At 39.6% G+C, this 14,744-nt stretch overlaps 1 protein-coding gene and 1 long non-coding RNA gene across 3 annotated transcripts in view, besides 1 other annotated feature; one reads left to right on the forward strand and one right to left on the reverse strand.

The window, feature by feature from the left end:
* CCDC148-AS1 (CCDC148 antisense RNA 1) overlaps window positions 1–14,744 on the forward strand; it is a 69,520-nt gene that overhangs the window by 51,679 nt on the left and 3,097 nt on the right. The gene's annotated exons all lie outside the window — the stretch shown is intronic.
* Window positions 1–14,744, reverse strand: part of CCDC148 (coiled-coil domain containing 148) — a 285,681-nt gene that overhangs the window by 47,256 nt on the left and 223,681 nt on the right. For both annotated transcript variants that reach the window (NM_001301684.2, NM_138803.4), the window contains one exon: window positions 2,267–2,385. In NM_001301684.2, coding sequence (NP_001288613.1) covers window positions 2,267–2,385 — 119 coding nt within the window. The remainder of the gene's footprint in view (window positions 1–2,266; window positions 2,386–14,744) is intronic.
* Window positions 4,917–5,416: an enhancer, noted in NCBI's record as "H3K4me1 hESC enhancer chr2:159079757-159080256 (GRCh37/hg19 assembly coordinates)". NCBI's record gives its function as "activates a minimal SCP1, AML or CMV promoter by ChIP-STARR-seq in primed H9 embryonic stem cells {active_cell/tissue: H9 hESC(primed)}" and the evidence as "EXISTENCE:reporter gene assay evidence [ECO:0000049][PMID:30033119]".

A 14,744-nucleotide genomic window follows, 5' to 3' on the forward strand; every position in this document is an offset into this window, starting at 1 on the left:
CAATTCAAAGAAGAGTCAAGACTAAAACCTTGGTCTCCTGGCTCCTCGTCTTTAGTACTCTTTTTAGTATCTTATAATATGCTTATTTTTTTTCTTTATGTAATGCAGATTAATCTGATTTTCCTTTTCTTCTTTTCAAACTGAAGTTCTGAATCAGCTAATCTTGATAATTATTGGGACAGGAAGCAAAAGACTGAAATGACTCTGTAATCAAAGAAGCTCCCTGACTATGAGGGGTAATTTTAGTGGAAGCCTGTATCCTAATGCTGGAACTACATATCTGTTCTGTTTTCCCCATTCCTTTTAATTTCTGTGGCTCTCTTTTGTTCTGGTAGGATAGCTTTAGACTGATCAACCAGATGTTGCCTTGCCCTTTAGTATTTAGCTGTTTGGGAATTCTTATCCACCTACTTGTTTCTGACCCATGGCCTGTATCCACTTAGGTCTTGGTTTGTGTTTGTTAATCTGGGTTCTCATTGGTGGCTTCACCTTCTAACCACGAGCCCTGGCTTTGCTATATTCTCAGTTCTCTCAGTAACAGATTATACTAAACTCTAAAATCCTGAGCTACCTGGGAAATAATGTGCATTTCGTCCAGAAAATCCTTAGGAATGCTTAGCATCTATTTGAAACTCCAGATTCAATCTACAACCTCAGTGATTAGAGTTTGAGATAACAGTCACATGGGTCACAAAGGAAGCTTCCTAGATACAAGTGAATCTCATTGTATCAAATGGTTATGCCTTCCAAAATTATATGTGAGTCTGAGGGGCAATTTTCAAAATAGGCTTTATTTATTATAGCGATTTTAGGTTCGGAGTGAAATTAAGCAGAAAGTATAGAGTTCCAGGAAATTTTTTTACAGCGACTAACTTAGGTAAATGTATCAGGGAAGCTCACTATTTAGAGGAAATTTACTATGATTTATGTTATGAAATGAGAGCTCTCTCTTCTTTATCTTTGGTGAAAATCACTAAGGAGCTAGCTAAATTAGATAACTATGCCAGTTATCAATGTAATGTCTCACAGCTCTAAATCCACCCTTCATTGTCTGCTCTCTGAAAATGGAGGTGGACCCTCTATCTATCCCTACAACTGGCAAAATATTAAGCAGTGTCAGAAAAGGCTGCTTGAAGGACACTGTAGAGGAAGGGGATTTCCTTCCTGGTTTGTGTGTTTATGCCTTCTTGTTCCTACCATACAGCTGCCAGCAGCACATGTAGGGGACACAAGTGTTGCTGTGTCCACAGAGTTCCAATGGCACACCCATGGTCAGTCCCATCAAATTTCAAAAGTACTTCCATGGTCAGATTTCCATTAAGCCTTGCAAGCATCTCAATAATTGGCTTCCAGCTTTGGCCTGCCTGCATCCAAGTTGGGTATTCCCTGTTTGCCTAGTGACTATTGAACTAGCTCTATCTTAACGCACCCAAGAACTTCTCCACCATTCAGAGGGTCATAACCATAGCTTCCACAGTAAGGTGTGAATCCCAACCGTGGAGAGGGCTCCTCAGTTCCAAACGTGTTTCTTCCAAGGGAACCCTCCTTCAGCCCTAGGGTATTCTTTAGCATGCTATTTATCTCTTTATATAGAAAGGATTTCCTGTTAGAGTTTATCATTTTTTCTATTAAACTTACCCTGTTCAAATTACTATATGTTTTTTGTCTCCTAATTGACCCTAACTGATACAGTAACTTTGGAAAAAATAACTTAAATCTCTTATTGTACTCATATGTAAAATGAGGAGACTAGGCTACTTGATCTCAAATGTCCTTTCCAGATCTAAAATTACATACTTCTAGGAAATTCCAGATTTTTTTCATGTATTGGGCATGCCCTAAGTATGTTATAATAAACACCACACAGCACTGTATAATTGTGTACTGTCTTCCCCAGCCTCCGTCACAGTAAATGGGTCTTCCTTCTTATTTGAATAATGGTTTCCTCCTTCTGGGTCAAGAGATAGTTACAGCAGCAGCCAGTATCATTTTATGCACACAGTGGGTAATCAAATACTATCAAATCCTCTGTGAGGGTTTTAACTAGGAAGCTATCTAAGGAACAAAATGAAAAACCAGAGGTTCATGTATGACTATGAGAATTTAAAATGCATCATAGATATCATTGTATTCATTTGTGAATATAAATATTGAAAGGATACATTAAGTATAGAAAAAAGTTCCCTCTGATATTATTTATTCTAACACTTTACAAAAGACTCCATTCACCACCTCCATTACCACACAATTTTAAATTTTCTTTTACCTTTCTCTGTCTTTTAGTGACTGTTCAGCGATTAATTTCTTCAGTTCTTCTAGACGCTGAAGATCTCTCATTTCCATTTCTTGCCACTTCTGTTTTTTCTTGGCCCAGTATTTTTTTATCTATTGTATAAATGTTACATAAAATTTAAATTAACAACAGATATGTAAAAATGAGGGAAAAGCCATAACCATATCCACTGGTTCGTATTACAAAATTGAATTTAAAGGGCACTTCATCTTTTTTGTTTCATAGATATGCTTATAATACATTGGCAACAGAAAAATAAATTAAAACACAAAGGTAGATGCCCTGAGAAACTGCAAGGTTTAACAATTTCTGCAATGAATGGAAATATAACTTGTGCTGACCTAAGGTTTTAATCTATGGCTAAAATAATCAACTTTCCAGAGAACCACAATAAAAGTGTGTTATTGTCTCTAAAGTATATGATCTACCTGTTACTCAAGAATATTTTTATCTTCTTATGGTAATGCAGTCTTTAACAAATATAGCATTAAAACTATTTTTATTTTAAAAGCATTAGTTTATTTATGCTAATGGACAGCAGGATGTTGAAAGCTTTATGCTTCTGGGGAAGTGGCAGGAGATAGGTGGGAGGAAGGAGGAAAAGAACAAATTAGCAGGGTTGTGGTATATAGTAGTTCTGACTTATGTGGTAAAATAAAGGTCGAGCTTATCAAGTGCAAAAAGGTGAAAGCAGTGTTATTAGTAGGCCTGTTTTACTTCCCTTTTCTGGAAATGGAAGCAAAATGAGAAAACCAGAGGTACATATGAGCTATTTTCAGGGAGCTGAAACCCTTATTCAGGATTTCCCAATGTGATGGGACAATGAATGTTTATTGAACAGAGGCCCATTCCACCACTCTGGCCTGCCATGTTGTGCCTGAGTCAAGAGACTGGCTCTTGCAGGTGAGTACCTCAATGGTAAATAGTGAGCGACTGGCAGCAGGGGGTCTGTTGTAGAGGCTGGGCTAGCCCTACCCCTAAGGTGGCATTTTCTTTTCTGAGACAGAGGTGAATAGGAAAATCTAAGTGGTTTCCTGACTTGCCCTAGCAACATGGTCTCTGATTTCTGGGAGAATCAAAAGAAGCATCCCAAGCACCATCGCCACAGACATAGCAACTCTGCAGCCACAATAGCAACATCTGTTCAATGTTTAATGAATAATTAAATAAGCCCAATGTGCAGTGATATCCACTGCAGAGATGACAGAGCTCTGGATTTAGAGAGAACAGAGATAAAGCTAGAAAGGCAGCAGCACCCAAGATGGAGAGAGAGAGAGAGAGGGTGGGTGCAGGAGAGGAAACATTGATTGACAAGGAGTGTTCTAGAGTCCTAACTGATAAATGCCAGGGAATTCTATTAATGACAGATACGGAAATGTTAGCAATGATTATGTCATCTCCATCTGGGAATTATAAACCATCTTTATTTTATTCTTTTCTGCATTACCTTATTTTTGCAATGAATCATATTTCTTTTATAATCAGAAAAAAATTAAGCTACTTCAAAACAAATTTTTTTAAAAGAACAGATATGGAATCAAAGAGCATTTTTCTCTGGGTTAATGCAGACCAATAATACTTCCTTACTCCCAGCACTGGCCTTGGAGAAAGTCAGTGGCTCTTTTGCAGACAATTCCTTGACCACAAGCAGAGCAACCCCAGGTTGCTGGCATCCTCAGATTTCTGACACCACTTGATCACTTGATACACTGTCCTGTGCAGGCCCCAGGCGTATGTTATACCTGGAGCTTTTTGCAATCTCAAGACCAGTTATTTCCATCTTTGACTCTGAAGGTACCAACCTTCAGGCATTGCTATAGTATAAGTGTGCTCTCTCCCTCTCTCTCTTTCTCTCTCTCTCTCTCTCTAATCCTTTTCAGTGCTTTCCACTGAGACCTCTGGAACCCCTGTGTCATCACATGTAAAACTCCCTACATCTTCAACCTTCAGAAAACTATTTCCTTGTTTTCACTGAAATTCTTTTGAGTGAAGGATACTCATATTCTGATACCCCATGTGCCATTTTGCTGGGGAATAGCTGGGGCATTTTCCTCATTGTTAACTGTCTGTTTCAGGCCATTATGATATGTACAATTCTTTCTCCCTTTGATGTTAACACCACATGGATATATCACCCTCTACCTGTCGTTATCATTGGCATGTGTAAATTTCCAAGTCACTCCCAAATTCTCTTCAAGAATTCAGATACTTGGAGTGGAGCCAAGATGGCCGAATAGGAACAGCTCCAGTCTACAGCTCCCAGGGTGAGCGAGGCAGAAGACGGGTGATTTCTGCATTTCCAACTGAGGTACCGGGTTCATCTCACTGAGGAGTGTCGGAAAGTGGGTGCAGGACAGTGGGTGCAGTGCACCGAGCATGAGCCGAAGCAGCGTGAGGCATCGCCTCACCTGGGAAGCACAAGGGGTCAGGGAATTGCCTTTCCTAGTCAAAGAAAGGGGTGACAGACAGCACCTGGAAAATCGGGTCACTCCCACGCTAATACTGCGCTTTCCCAAAGGTTTTAGCAAAGGGCACACCAGGAGATCATATCCCTCGCCTGGCTTGGAGGGTCCTACGCCCACGGATCCTCACTCACTGCTAGCACAGCAGTCTTAGATCAAACTGCAAGGCAGCAGCGAGGCTGGGGGAGGGACACCCGCCATTGCTGAGGCTTGAGTAGGTAAACAAAGCAGCCCAGAAGCTTGACCTGGGTGGAGCCCACTGCAGCTCAAGGAGGCCTGTCTGCCTGCCTCTGTAGACTCCACTCTAGGGGCAGGGCATTGCCAAACAAAAGGCAGCAGAAACCTCTGCAGACTTAAATGTCCCTGTCTGACAGCTTTGAAGAGTGTAGTGGTTCTCCCACCACACAGCTGGAGATCTGAGAACGGACTGACTGCCTCCTCAAGTGGGTCCCTGACCCCCCTGTAGCCTAACTGGGAGGCACCCCCCAGTAGGGGCAGACTGACACCTCACATGGCTGGGTACTCCTCTGAGACAAAATGTCCAGAGGAACGACCAGGCAGCAACATTTGCTGTTCACCAATATTCACTGTTCTGCAGCCTCGTCTGCTGATACCCAGGCAAACAGGGTCTGGAGTGGACCTCCAGCAAACTCCAACAGACCTGCAGCTGAGGGTGCTGACTGTTAGAAGGAAAACTAACAAACAGAAAAGACATCCAAAGCAAAACCCCATCTGTATGTCACCATCATCAAAGACCAAAGGTAGATAAAACCACAAAGATGGGGAAAAAACAGAGCAGAAAAACTGGAAACTCTAAAAATCAGAGTGCCTCTCCTTCTCCAAAGGAATGCAGCTCCTTGCCAGCAATGGAACAAAGCTGAATGGAGAATGACTTTGACGAGTTGAGAGAAGAAGGCTTCAGACGATCAAACTACTCCGAGCTAAAGGAGGAAGTTCGAACCATGGCAAACAAGTTAAAAACCTTGAAAAAAAATTAGACGAATGGCTAACTAGAATAACCAATGCAGAGAAGGCCTTAAAGGACCTGATGGAGCTGAAAACCAAGGCACGAGAACTACGTGATGAATGCACAAGCCTCAGTAGCCGATCAACTGGAAGAAAGGGTACCAGTGATGCAAGATCAAATGAATGAAATGAAGCGAGAAGAGAAGTTTAGAGACAAACGAATAAAAAATAAATGAACAAAGCCTCCAAGAAATATGGGACTATGTGAAAAGACCAAATCTACATCTGATTGGTGTACCTGAAAGTGATGGGGAGAATGGAAACAAGTTGGAAAACACTCTGCAGGATATTATCCAGGAGTACTTCCCCAATCTAGCAAGGCAGGCCAACATTCAAATTCAGGAAATACAGAGAATGCCACAAAGATACTCCTTGAGAAGAGCAACTCCAAGACACATAATTGTCAGATTCACCAAAGGTAAAAATGTTAAGGGCAGCCAGAGAGAAAGGTTGGGTTACCCACAAAGGGAAGCCCATAAGACTAACAGCTGATCTCCTGGCTGAAACTCTCAAGCCAGAAGAGAGTAGGGGCCAATATTCAACATTCTTAAAGAAAAGAATTTTCAAACCAGAATTTCATATCCAGCCAAACTAAGCTTCGTAAGTGAAGGAGAAATAATATATTTTACAGACAAGCAAATGCTGAGAGATTTTGTCACCACCAGGCCTGCCCTAAAAGAGCTCCTAAAGGAAGCACTAAACATGGAAAGGAACAACCGGTACCAGCCACTGCAAAAACATGCCAAATTGTAAAGACCATCGAGGCTAGGAAGAAACTGCATCAACTAACGAGCAAACTAACCAGCTAACATCATAATGACAGGATCAAATTCACACATGACAATATTAACCTTAAATGTAAATGGGCTAAATGCTCCAATTAAAAGACACAGACTGGCAAATTGGATAAAGAGTGAAGACCCATCAGTGTGCTGTATTCACGAAACCCATCTCATGTGAAGAGACACACATAGGCTCAAAATAAAGGGATGGAGGAAGATCTACCAAGCAAAAGGAAAACAAAAAACAGGCAGGGGTTGCAATCCTAGTCTCTGATAAAACAGACTTTAAACCAACAAAGATCAAAAGAGACAAAGAAGGCCATTACATAATAGTAAAGGGATCAATTCAACAAGAAGAGCTAACTATCCTAAATATATATGCACCCAAAACAGGAGCACCCAGATTCATAAAGCAAGTCCTTAGAGACCTACAAAGAGACTTAGACTCCCACACAATAATAATGAGAGACTTAAACACTCCACTGTCAACATTAGACAGATCAACGAGACAGAAAGTTAACAAGGATATCCAGGACTTGAACTCAGCTCTGCACCAAGCAGAACTAATAGACATCTACAGAACTCTCCACCCCAAATCAACAGAATATACATTCTTCTCAGCACCACACCACACTTATTTCAAAATTGACCACATAGTTGGAAGTAAAGCACTCCTCAGCAAATGTAAAAGAATAGAAATTATAACAAACTGTCTGTCAGACCACAGTGCAATCAAACTAGAACTCGGGATTAAGAAACTCACTCAAAACTGCTCAACTACATGGAAACTGAACAATTCGCTCCTGAATGACTACTGGGTACATAATGAAATGAAGGCAGAAATAAAGATGTTCTTTGAAACCAATGAGAACAAAGACACAACATACCAGAATCTCTGGGACACATTCAAAGCAGTGTGTAGAGGGAAATTTATAGCACTAAATGCCCACAAGAGAAAGCAGGAAAGATCCAAAATTGACACCCTAACATCACAATTAAAAGAACTAGAGAAGCAAGAGCAAACACATTCAACAGCTAGCAGAAGGCAAGAAATAACTAAGATCAGAGCAGAACTGAGGGAAATAGAGACACAAAAACCCTTCAAAAAATCAATGAATCTAGGAACTGGTTTTTTGAAAAGATCAACAAAATTGATAGACTGCTAGCAAGACTAATAAAGCAGAAAAGAGAGAAGAATCAAATAGACGCAATAAAAAATGATAAAGGGGATATCACCACCTATCCCACAGAAATACAAACTACCATCAGAGAATACTATGAACACCTCTATGCAAATAAACTAGAAAATCTAGAAGAAATGGATAAATTCCTCAACACATACACCCTCCCAAGACTAAACCAGGAAGAAGTTGAATCTCTGAAGAGACCAATAACAGGCTCTGAAATTGAGGCAATAATTAATAGCTTACCAACCAAAAAAAGTCCAGGACCAGATGGATTCACAGCCATATTCTATCAGAGGTATAAGGAGGAGCCGGTACCATTCTTTCTGAAACTATTCCAATCAATAGAAAAAGAGGGAATCCTCCCTAACTCATTTTATGAGGCCAGCATCATCCTGATTCCAAAGCCTGCCAGAGACACAACAAAAAAAGAGAATTTTAGACCAATATCCCTGATGAACATCGATGCAAAAATAATCAATAAAATACTGGCAAACTGAATCCAGCTGCACATCAAAAAGCTTATCCACCATGATCAAGTGGGCATCATCCCTGGGATGCAAGGCTGGTTCAACATACGCAAATCAATAAACATAATCCAGCATATAAACAGAACCAACGACAAAAACCACATGATTATCTCAATAGATGCAGAAAAGGCCTTTGACAAAATTCAACAGCCCTTCATGCTAAAAACTCTCAATAAATTAGGTATTGATGGGATGTATCTCAAAATAATAAGAGCTATCTATGACAAACCCACAGTCAATATCATACTGAATGGGCAAAAACTGGAAGCATTCCCTTTGAAAACTGGCACAAGACAGGGATGCCCTCTCTCACCACTCCTATTCAACATAGTGTTGGAAGTTCTGACAAGGGCAATCAGGCAGGAGAAGGAAATAAAGGGTATTCAATTAGGAAAAGAGGAAGTCAAATTGTCCCTGTTTGCAGATGACATGATTGTATATCTAGAAAACCCCATCGTCTCAGCCCAAAATCTCCTTAAGCTGATAGGCAACTTCAGCAAAGTCTCAGGATACAAAATCAATGTACAAAAATCACAAGCATTCCCATACACCAATAACAGACAAACAGAGAGCCAAATCATGAGTGAACTCCCATTCACAATTGCTTCAAAGAGAATAAAATACCTAGGAATCCAACTTACAAGGGACGTCAAGGACCTCTTCAAGGAGAACTACAAACCATGGCTCAATGAAATAAAAGAGGATACAAACAAATGGAAGAACATTCCATGCTCATGGGTAGGAAGAATCAATATTGTGAAAATGGCCATACTGCCCAAGGTAATTTATAGATTCAATGCCATCCCCATCAAGCTACCAATGACTTTCTTCACAGAATTGGAAAAAACTACTTTGAAGTTCATATGGAACCAAAAAAGAGCCCGCATTGCCAAGTCAATCCTAAGCCAAAAGAACAAAGCTGGAGGCATCACGCTACCTGACTTCAAACTATACTACAAGGCTACAGTAACCAAAACAGCATGATACTGGTACCAAAACAGAGATATAGATCAGTGGAACAGAACAGAGCCCTCAGAAATAATGCCGCATATCTACAACCATCTGATCTTTGACAAACCTGACAAAAACAAGAAATGGGGAAATGATTCCCTATTTAATAAATCGTGCTGGGAAAACTGGCTAGCCATATATAGAAAGCTGAAACTGGATCCCTTCCTTATGCCTTATACAAAAATTAGTTCAAGATTGATTAAAGACTTAAATGTTAGACCTAAAACCATAAAAACCCTAGAAGAAAACCTAGGCAATACCATTCAGGACATAGGCATGGGCAAGGACTTCATGTCCAAAACACCAAAAGCAATGGCAACAAAAGACAAAATTGACAAATGGGATCTAATTAAAATAAAGAGCTTCTGCATAGCAAAAGAAACTATCATCAGAGGGAACAGACAACCTACAGAATGGGAGAAAAATTTTGCAATCTACTTATCTGACAAAGGGCTAATATCCAGAATCTACAATGAACTCCAACAAATTTACAAGAAAAAAACAAACAACCCCATCAAAAAGTGGGCAAAAGATATGAACAGACACTTCTCAAAATAAGACATTTATGCAGCCAAAAGACACAGGAAAAAATGCTCATCATCACTGGGCATCAGAGAAATGTAAATCAAAACCACAATGAGATACCATCTCACACCAGTTAGAATTGCAATCATTAAAAAGTCAGGAAACAACAAGTGCTGGAGAGGACATGGAGAAATAGGAACACTTTTACACTGTTGGTGGGACTGTAAACTAGTTCACCCATTATGGAAGTCAGTGTGGCGATTCCTCAGGGATCTAGAGCTAGAAATACCATTTGACCCAGCAATCCCATTGCTGGGTATACACCCAAAGGATTATAAATCATGCTGCTATAAAGACACATGCATACGTATGTTTATTGCGGCAGTATTCACAATAGCAAAGACTTGGAACCAACCCAAATGTCCAACAATGATAGACTGGATTAAGATAATGTGGCACATATACACCATGGAATACTATGTGGCCATAAAAAATGATGAGTTCATGTCCTTTGTAGGGACATGGATGAAGCTAGAAACCATCATTCTCAGCAATCTATCGCAAGGACAAAAAACCAAACACCACATGTTCTCACTCATAGGTGGGAATTGAACAATGAGAACACATGGACACAGAAAGGGGAACATCACACACCCGGGCCTGTTGTGGGGTTGGGGGGAGGGGGGAGGGATAGTATTTGGAGATATACCTAATGTTAAATGATGAGTTACTGGGTGCAGCACACCAACATGGCACATGTATACATATGTAACTAACCTGCACGTTGTGCACATGTACCATAAAACTTAAAGTATAATAACAAAACAAAAAAAAAAAGAAAATGAAAGAAAAAAAAAGAATTCAGATACTTCAGTCACAGCCTTCTCAAATACAGGCAACTTCAGCCTGTCTGAATGCCCTTCCAACCTTCCTAATCAACTTCACCATCTGTCTGACTGCCCTTCCAACCTGTAATTCTCATAATTCTATGACTTCCTCCATTCTAGGGAACTTCCTCTTCCTCCAGAATTCTATTATCATTGAAAACAGTTCCAACTGTGTAATCTTGAATCAGCAATAGACTCTGTGACCAGAACCTGCCCTACCCACTTCCAATCATCCTCTGGGCTCCACTTATATAATGTTATTTCCCTAGTGCAGCTCTCATCACAAGGCTTTGCTAATTAATATACTTTTCTTCTGTCCCACTAGGCTGCAACAATTGTGAGATATTCAGCTAAAGTGTCTAAAACATAGCATGTACTTAATAACCATTTGATTGATGACATAATTGTAGGAACTAGTACTAAATTTATGGTTTCAATTGAATCTTCAATGACAATAAGCATTCCATTTATGAATTCCTGGACAATGCCTCTCAGTTTCTCATAGTGATATTCTAAAACCTGTTCACTATGTTCAGCTCCATACCTGCTGCTATTTCCTCACTTTCATCAGAGCAAACAGAAGCTCTACAAGATATCTTTCTCATTGTTCAGCCCATCAGAAGAAGAGGTATTTTTCCTCCTGTTCAAGACTAATGCCTCACCTGGGCTGCAGATCCCATTCCCAATTCCACCTTCTTCGTAGCCTCCCTCCTCATCTGTCCCCTCCTCTCCCCTGTACCTTCAGCTTCTTGCTCTTTGCTGCTTCCTTCTCACATGGAATTAAACATAATTTTATCCCATTGCAATAATTTAGAAATTCTTTAGAACCCAAAGATTGTAGCATCATACCTTTCATTGTTCCTCTTTGGCCAGGCATCTTAGCAACTCGCTTTTTCCCATGTGCACATCTTCTATTTCACTCCTCACCTATGGTATTCCTACCTCTGTACTCCACTCCGAAGTCACTGCTCTCACTAGTGAGTTCCACAGGATCGGATCAAATATCCTTTCCAATCATGATTTTACTTGATGTCTCTGTGTATTTGATTCTATTAACCCTTACCTATAGTATTAAACCATTATTGACTTTGGGACTTTGACATTCATTTGTTCAACAAGTATTTATTGAGCACATGATAACTGGTACTTAAAAAAAATAAAGCCTCTGTCTTGTGGAACTGAGACTTTCTAGAAAGGGAGACAGATAGTAAATGAATGAATGAATGGAATATCACATGCTGTATTAACCTCTAAGAAGGGGATACGTAGAGTGATGGTTTAGAAAAATTTGAGTAGAATTAGTAGAAGGTATCTTTTAAATGTCTTAAATAGGACATCTGGATGACATGACATTTGTTTGAAAACCTGGTAGATGAGCGTGAAACACCCACGGGAAGAGATGGAGGGGAGTACATTGGGAAGAGGGTGCAACAGCATTGGATGGGGAAGACCTCGCATATGTTGAGAACTGGGAATAGGCCAGGGAGCTGGAGCAGGTGGCATAGGTTAAGACTAGAAGCGAGATTGGAGAGCTGCATGGGGTTAGATGATTTGGCCAGGATTTAATTCTAGAAACAAGGAAAAGCCATTGAAGAGACTAAAGCAAATAGTAGCATGATCTGACTTACATTTCTTACATTTTAAAAAGAGAGCTCTCGATATGAAGTGGAGCACGGGTAGTAGAGAAGCTAAGGAACAACAGGGAGACCAGTTAGAAGGAAAAGGCAGCGCTCGTCCCTGGACTCAGGAGATGGATTCAAGTGTTCAGATCTGAGATGTGCTTTTGAGTAGAATCAGAGGGCTCATTGAAAGATTCCAAGAGGGCTCATTGAGAGATTCCATGTGAAGATTGCAGGAAAGACTAATCAAGGACAATTCCTAGGTTTTTGCTTGAACAGCTGGTTGAAAGGTGATACTAGTAACTGAGATAGAAGATTGGGAGAATAACAAGCTTGGAAAAGGAAGAAAATTGGGAGCTCAGTTTTGAACACATAACACTTGACAAGCCCATAAGACCTCTAAGTTGGAGGGGCCAGACGAACATCTGAAGGCACAGATGGGTGGCTTAGGGGAGAACTCAGTGCTGGAGACCTAAATTAAGGAGATAGCCACATAAACAGTATTTGACACCAGAGGACTGGATGAGGTCTCCAGGATGAGGATGTGAACAGGAAAGAGAATGTGGTTATGCACTCTCATGCTTATTTGCTTTTCTGCACAGCTTTCTCTACTAGAATGACTTAATTTCCCTCTTCCACCTGTCAAACTTACTTTATCTTTAAGATGAGAACAAATGCCACCTCCTCAAATCTTCTCCTGAGCCTTCTAGAAAAACAGTAGCTCCATCCATGGCACACCAATAGCTTATAGTTTATGACCCTCCTTTCTTTGACTACCTGCATTCCTGGACTTCTTTCATGAGGTTCTGCCCCTGGATCTTTACCAATATATTTGGGCATTTAGTACATGCCTGGAAAGTTCTGCCTTGCCTTATTGCTTGGTAAATCCTTCCTATCCATCCTTTAAAGACTCAGTTTTAGCATTGCCTTCTCAGCCTTTCTCCCTCTCCCTCTCCTCCAGATACAGCTAGGTGTACCTTCTAAGGCATTATTTGTGTATTCTTAACACAGCATTTCCCATATTAATCTGCATTGTTTATCTTTGTATCCTTAGTACATTGTGTCATGTCTAACACATAAGAGGGTATCATTGATCACTCTTAGGTGACTGGAAGTTTCTTCTGGTCTCTGGTCCAAGAATAACAAAGTTGTACATGGGAACCGGGCCAACAGTTTTCTTTTCAGGATGGTAAAGGCCAAACTAAGTACCTCCCTAAGGACAGTTCCATTCACTGTTCATCCATTAATTCATCCTACAATTTATGTATCAAGAATTATTAGCTTTGCAAGCCTCAAACTGAAGTCAAGACTAAGGGTATTTAACTAGTCCTTTGGGACATTTGTTGAGACAGAGATTTTAAATGCACTGATTGTTAGACTTTTTGAAGGATTCTTATAATGTTCCAATGATAGAAGAATCAGAAAGTCAGCATATGATAAGAGTTGAATTTATAGCTTGTCTCTTTACTTCCACATGAGGTTTACAGAAAAACAAAAGAAGCACTCATTATCCCCTATCTCCTCTTACTATTATACTTCTGATTTGTATTGAATGCAAGAGGTTTATTTTCACAGTCCCACATTTTGTTCATTTTAATAAAGTTAAACCAGTAAAAGTATAATAAATACTGTAGAAATAAAAACTGTAGAAACTATTCACCATATAGATTTTGGAGCCAAAATAATGTCATGCTATTTTTCAGTCTAAGATCATTTTTATATCCTACCTTACTTTTGTAATCTTTCAGATTTTTTCCTATTAAAAACTACACTTGTAAACAGAACATTTATAATATTAGAGTATCTCAAAGTTTAACTTAAAAAAAAACTTGGACCAATATTATACAACCATTAAATTCAACATGAAATAAGAATTTCTTATTTACACATAGGAAGCAGAAAGTTAGGACAAAAGGATTAGAGTAGCAAATAGTTTGTCTCTTATTTCACGCTTGTGTGATGTTGAATCTTTGAACAAATAGACTTCTGTACATTGTTGTCAGGTCATTATCTCTGACCTGTGACTCAGTCAGAAGGAAGTCATAACACTTAACCAGACTCATAAAAGATATGAAGTTCAAAGCATCCAGTTCCAGTCCCCATAAGCCATTAAGATAAAGCACATTTTTATTCCATTTTCTAGATTCTAATTAGATAGTTCCTTGCATCCTATTTTTAAGGTAGAGAGTAGAATGGTGGTTATTAGAGGCTGGGAAGGGTAAGGGGCAGGGGATGAAGAGAAGTTGTTTCATGCATATAAAACTACAGTTAAGTAGAAGGAATAAATTCTAGTGTTCAATAGCACCAGTAGGATGACTATAGTTAATCACAATTCATTGTATCTTTCAAAATAGCTAGAAGAGAATATTCGGAATGTTTCCAACATAAAGAAATGATACATGTTTGAGGTAATGGATATCCCAAT

Source organism: Homo sapiens, chromosome 2 (genome assembly GCF_000001405.40).
Source record: "Homo sapiens chromosome 2, GRCh38.p14 Primary Assembly".
Taxonomy (NCBI): domain Eukaryota; kingdom Metazoa; phylum Chordata; class Mammalia; order Primates; family Hominidae; genus Homo; species Homo sapiens.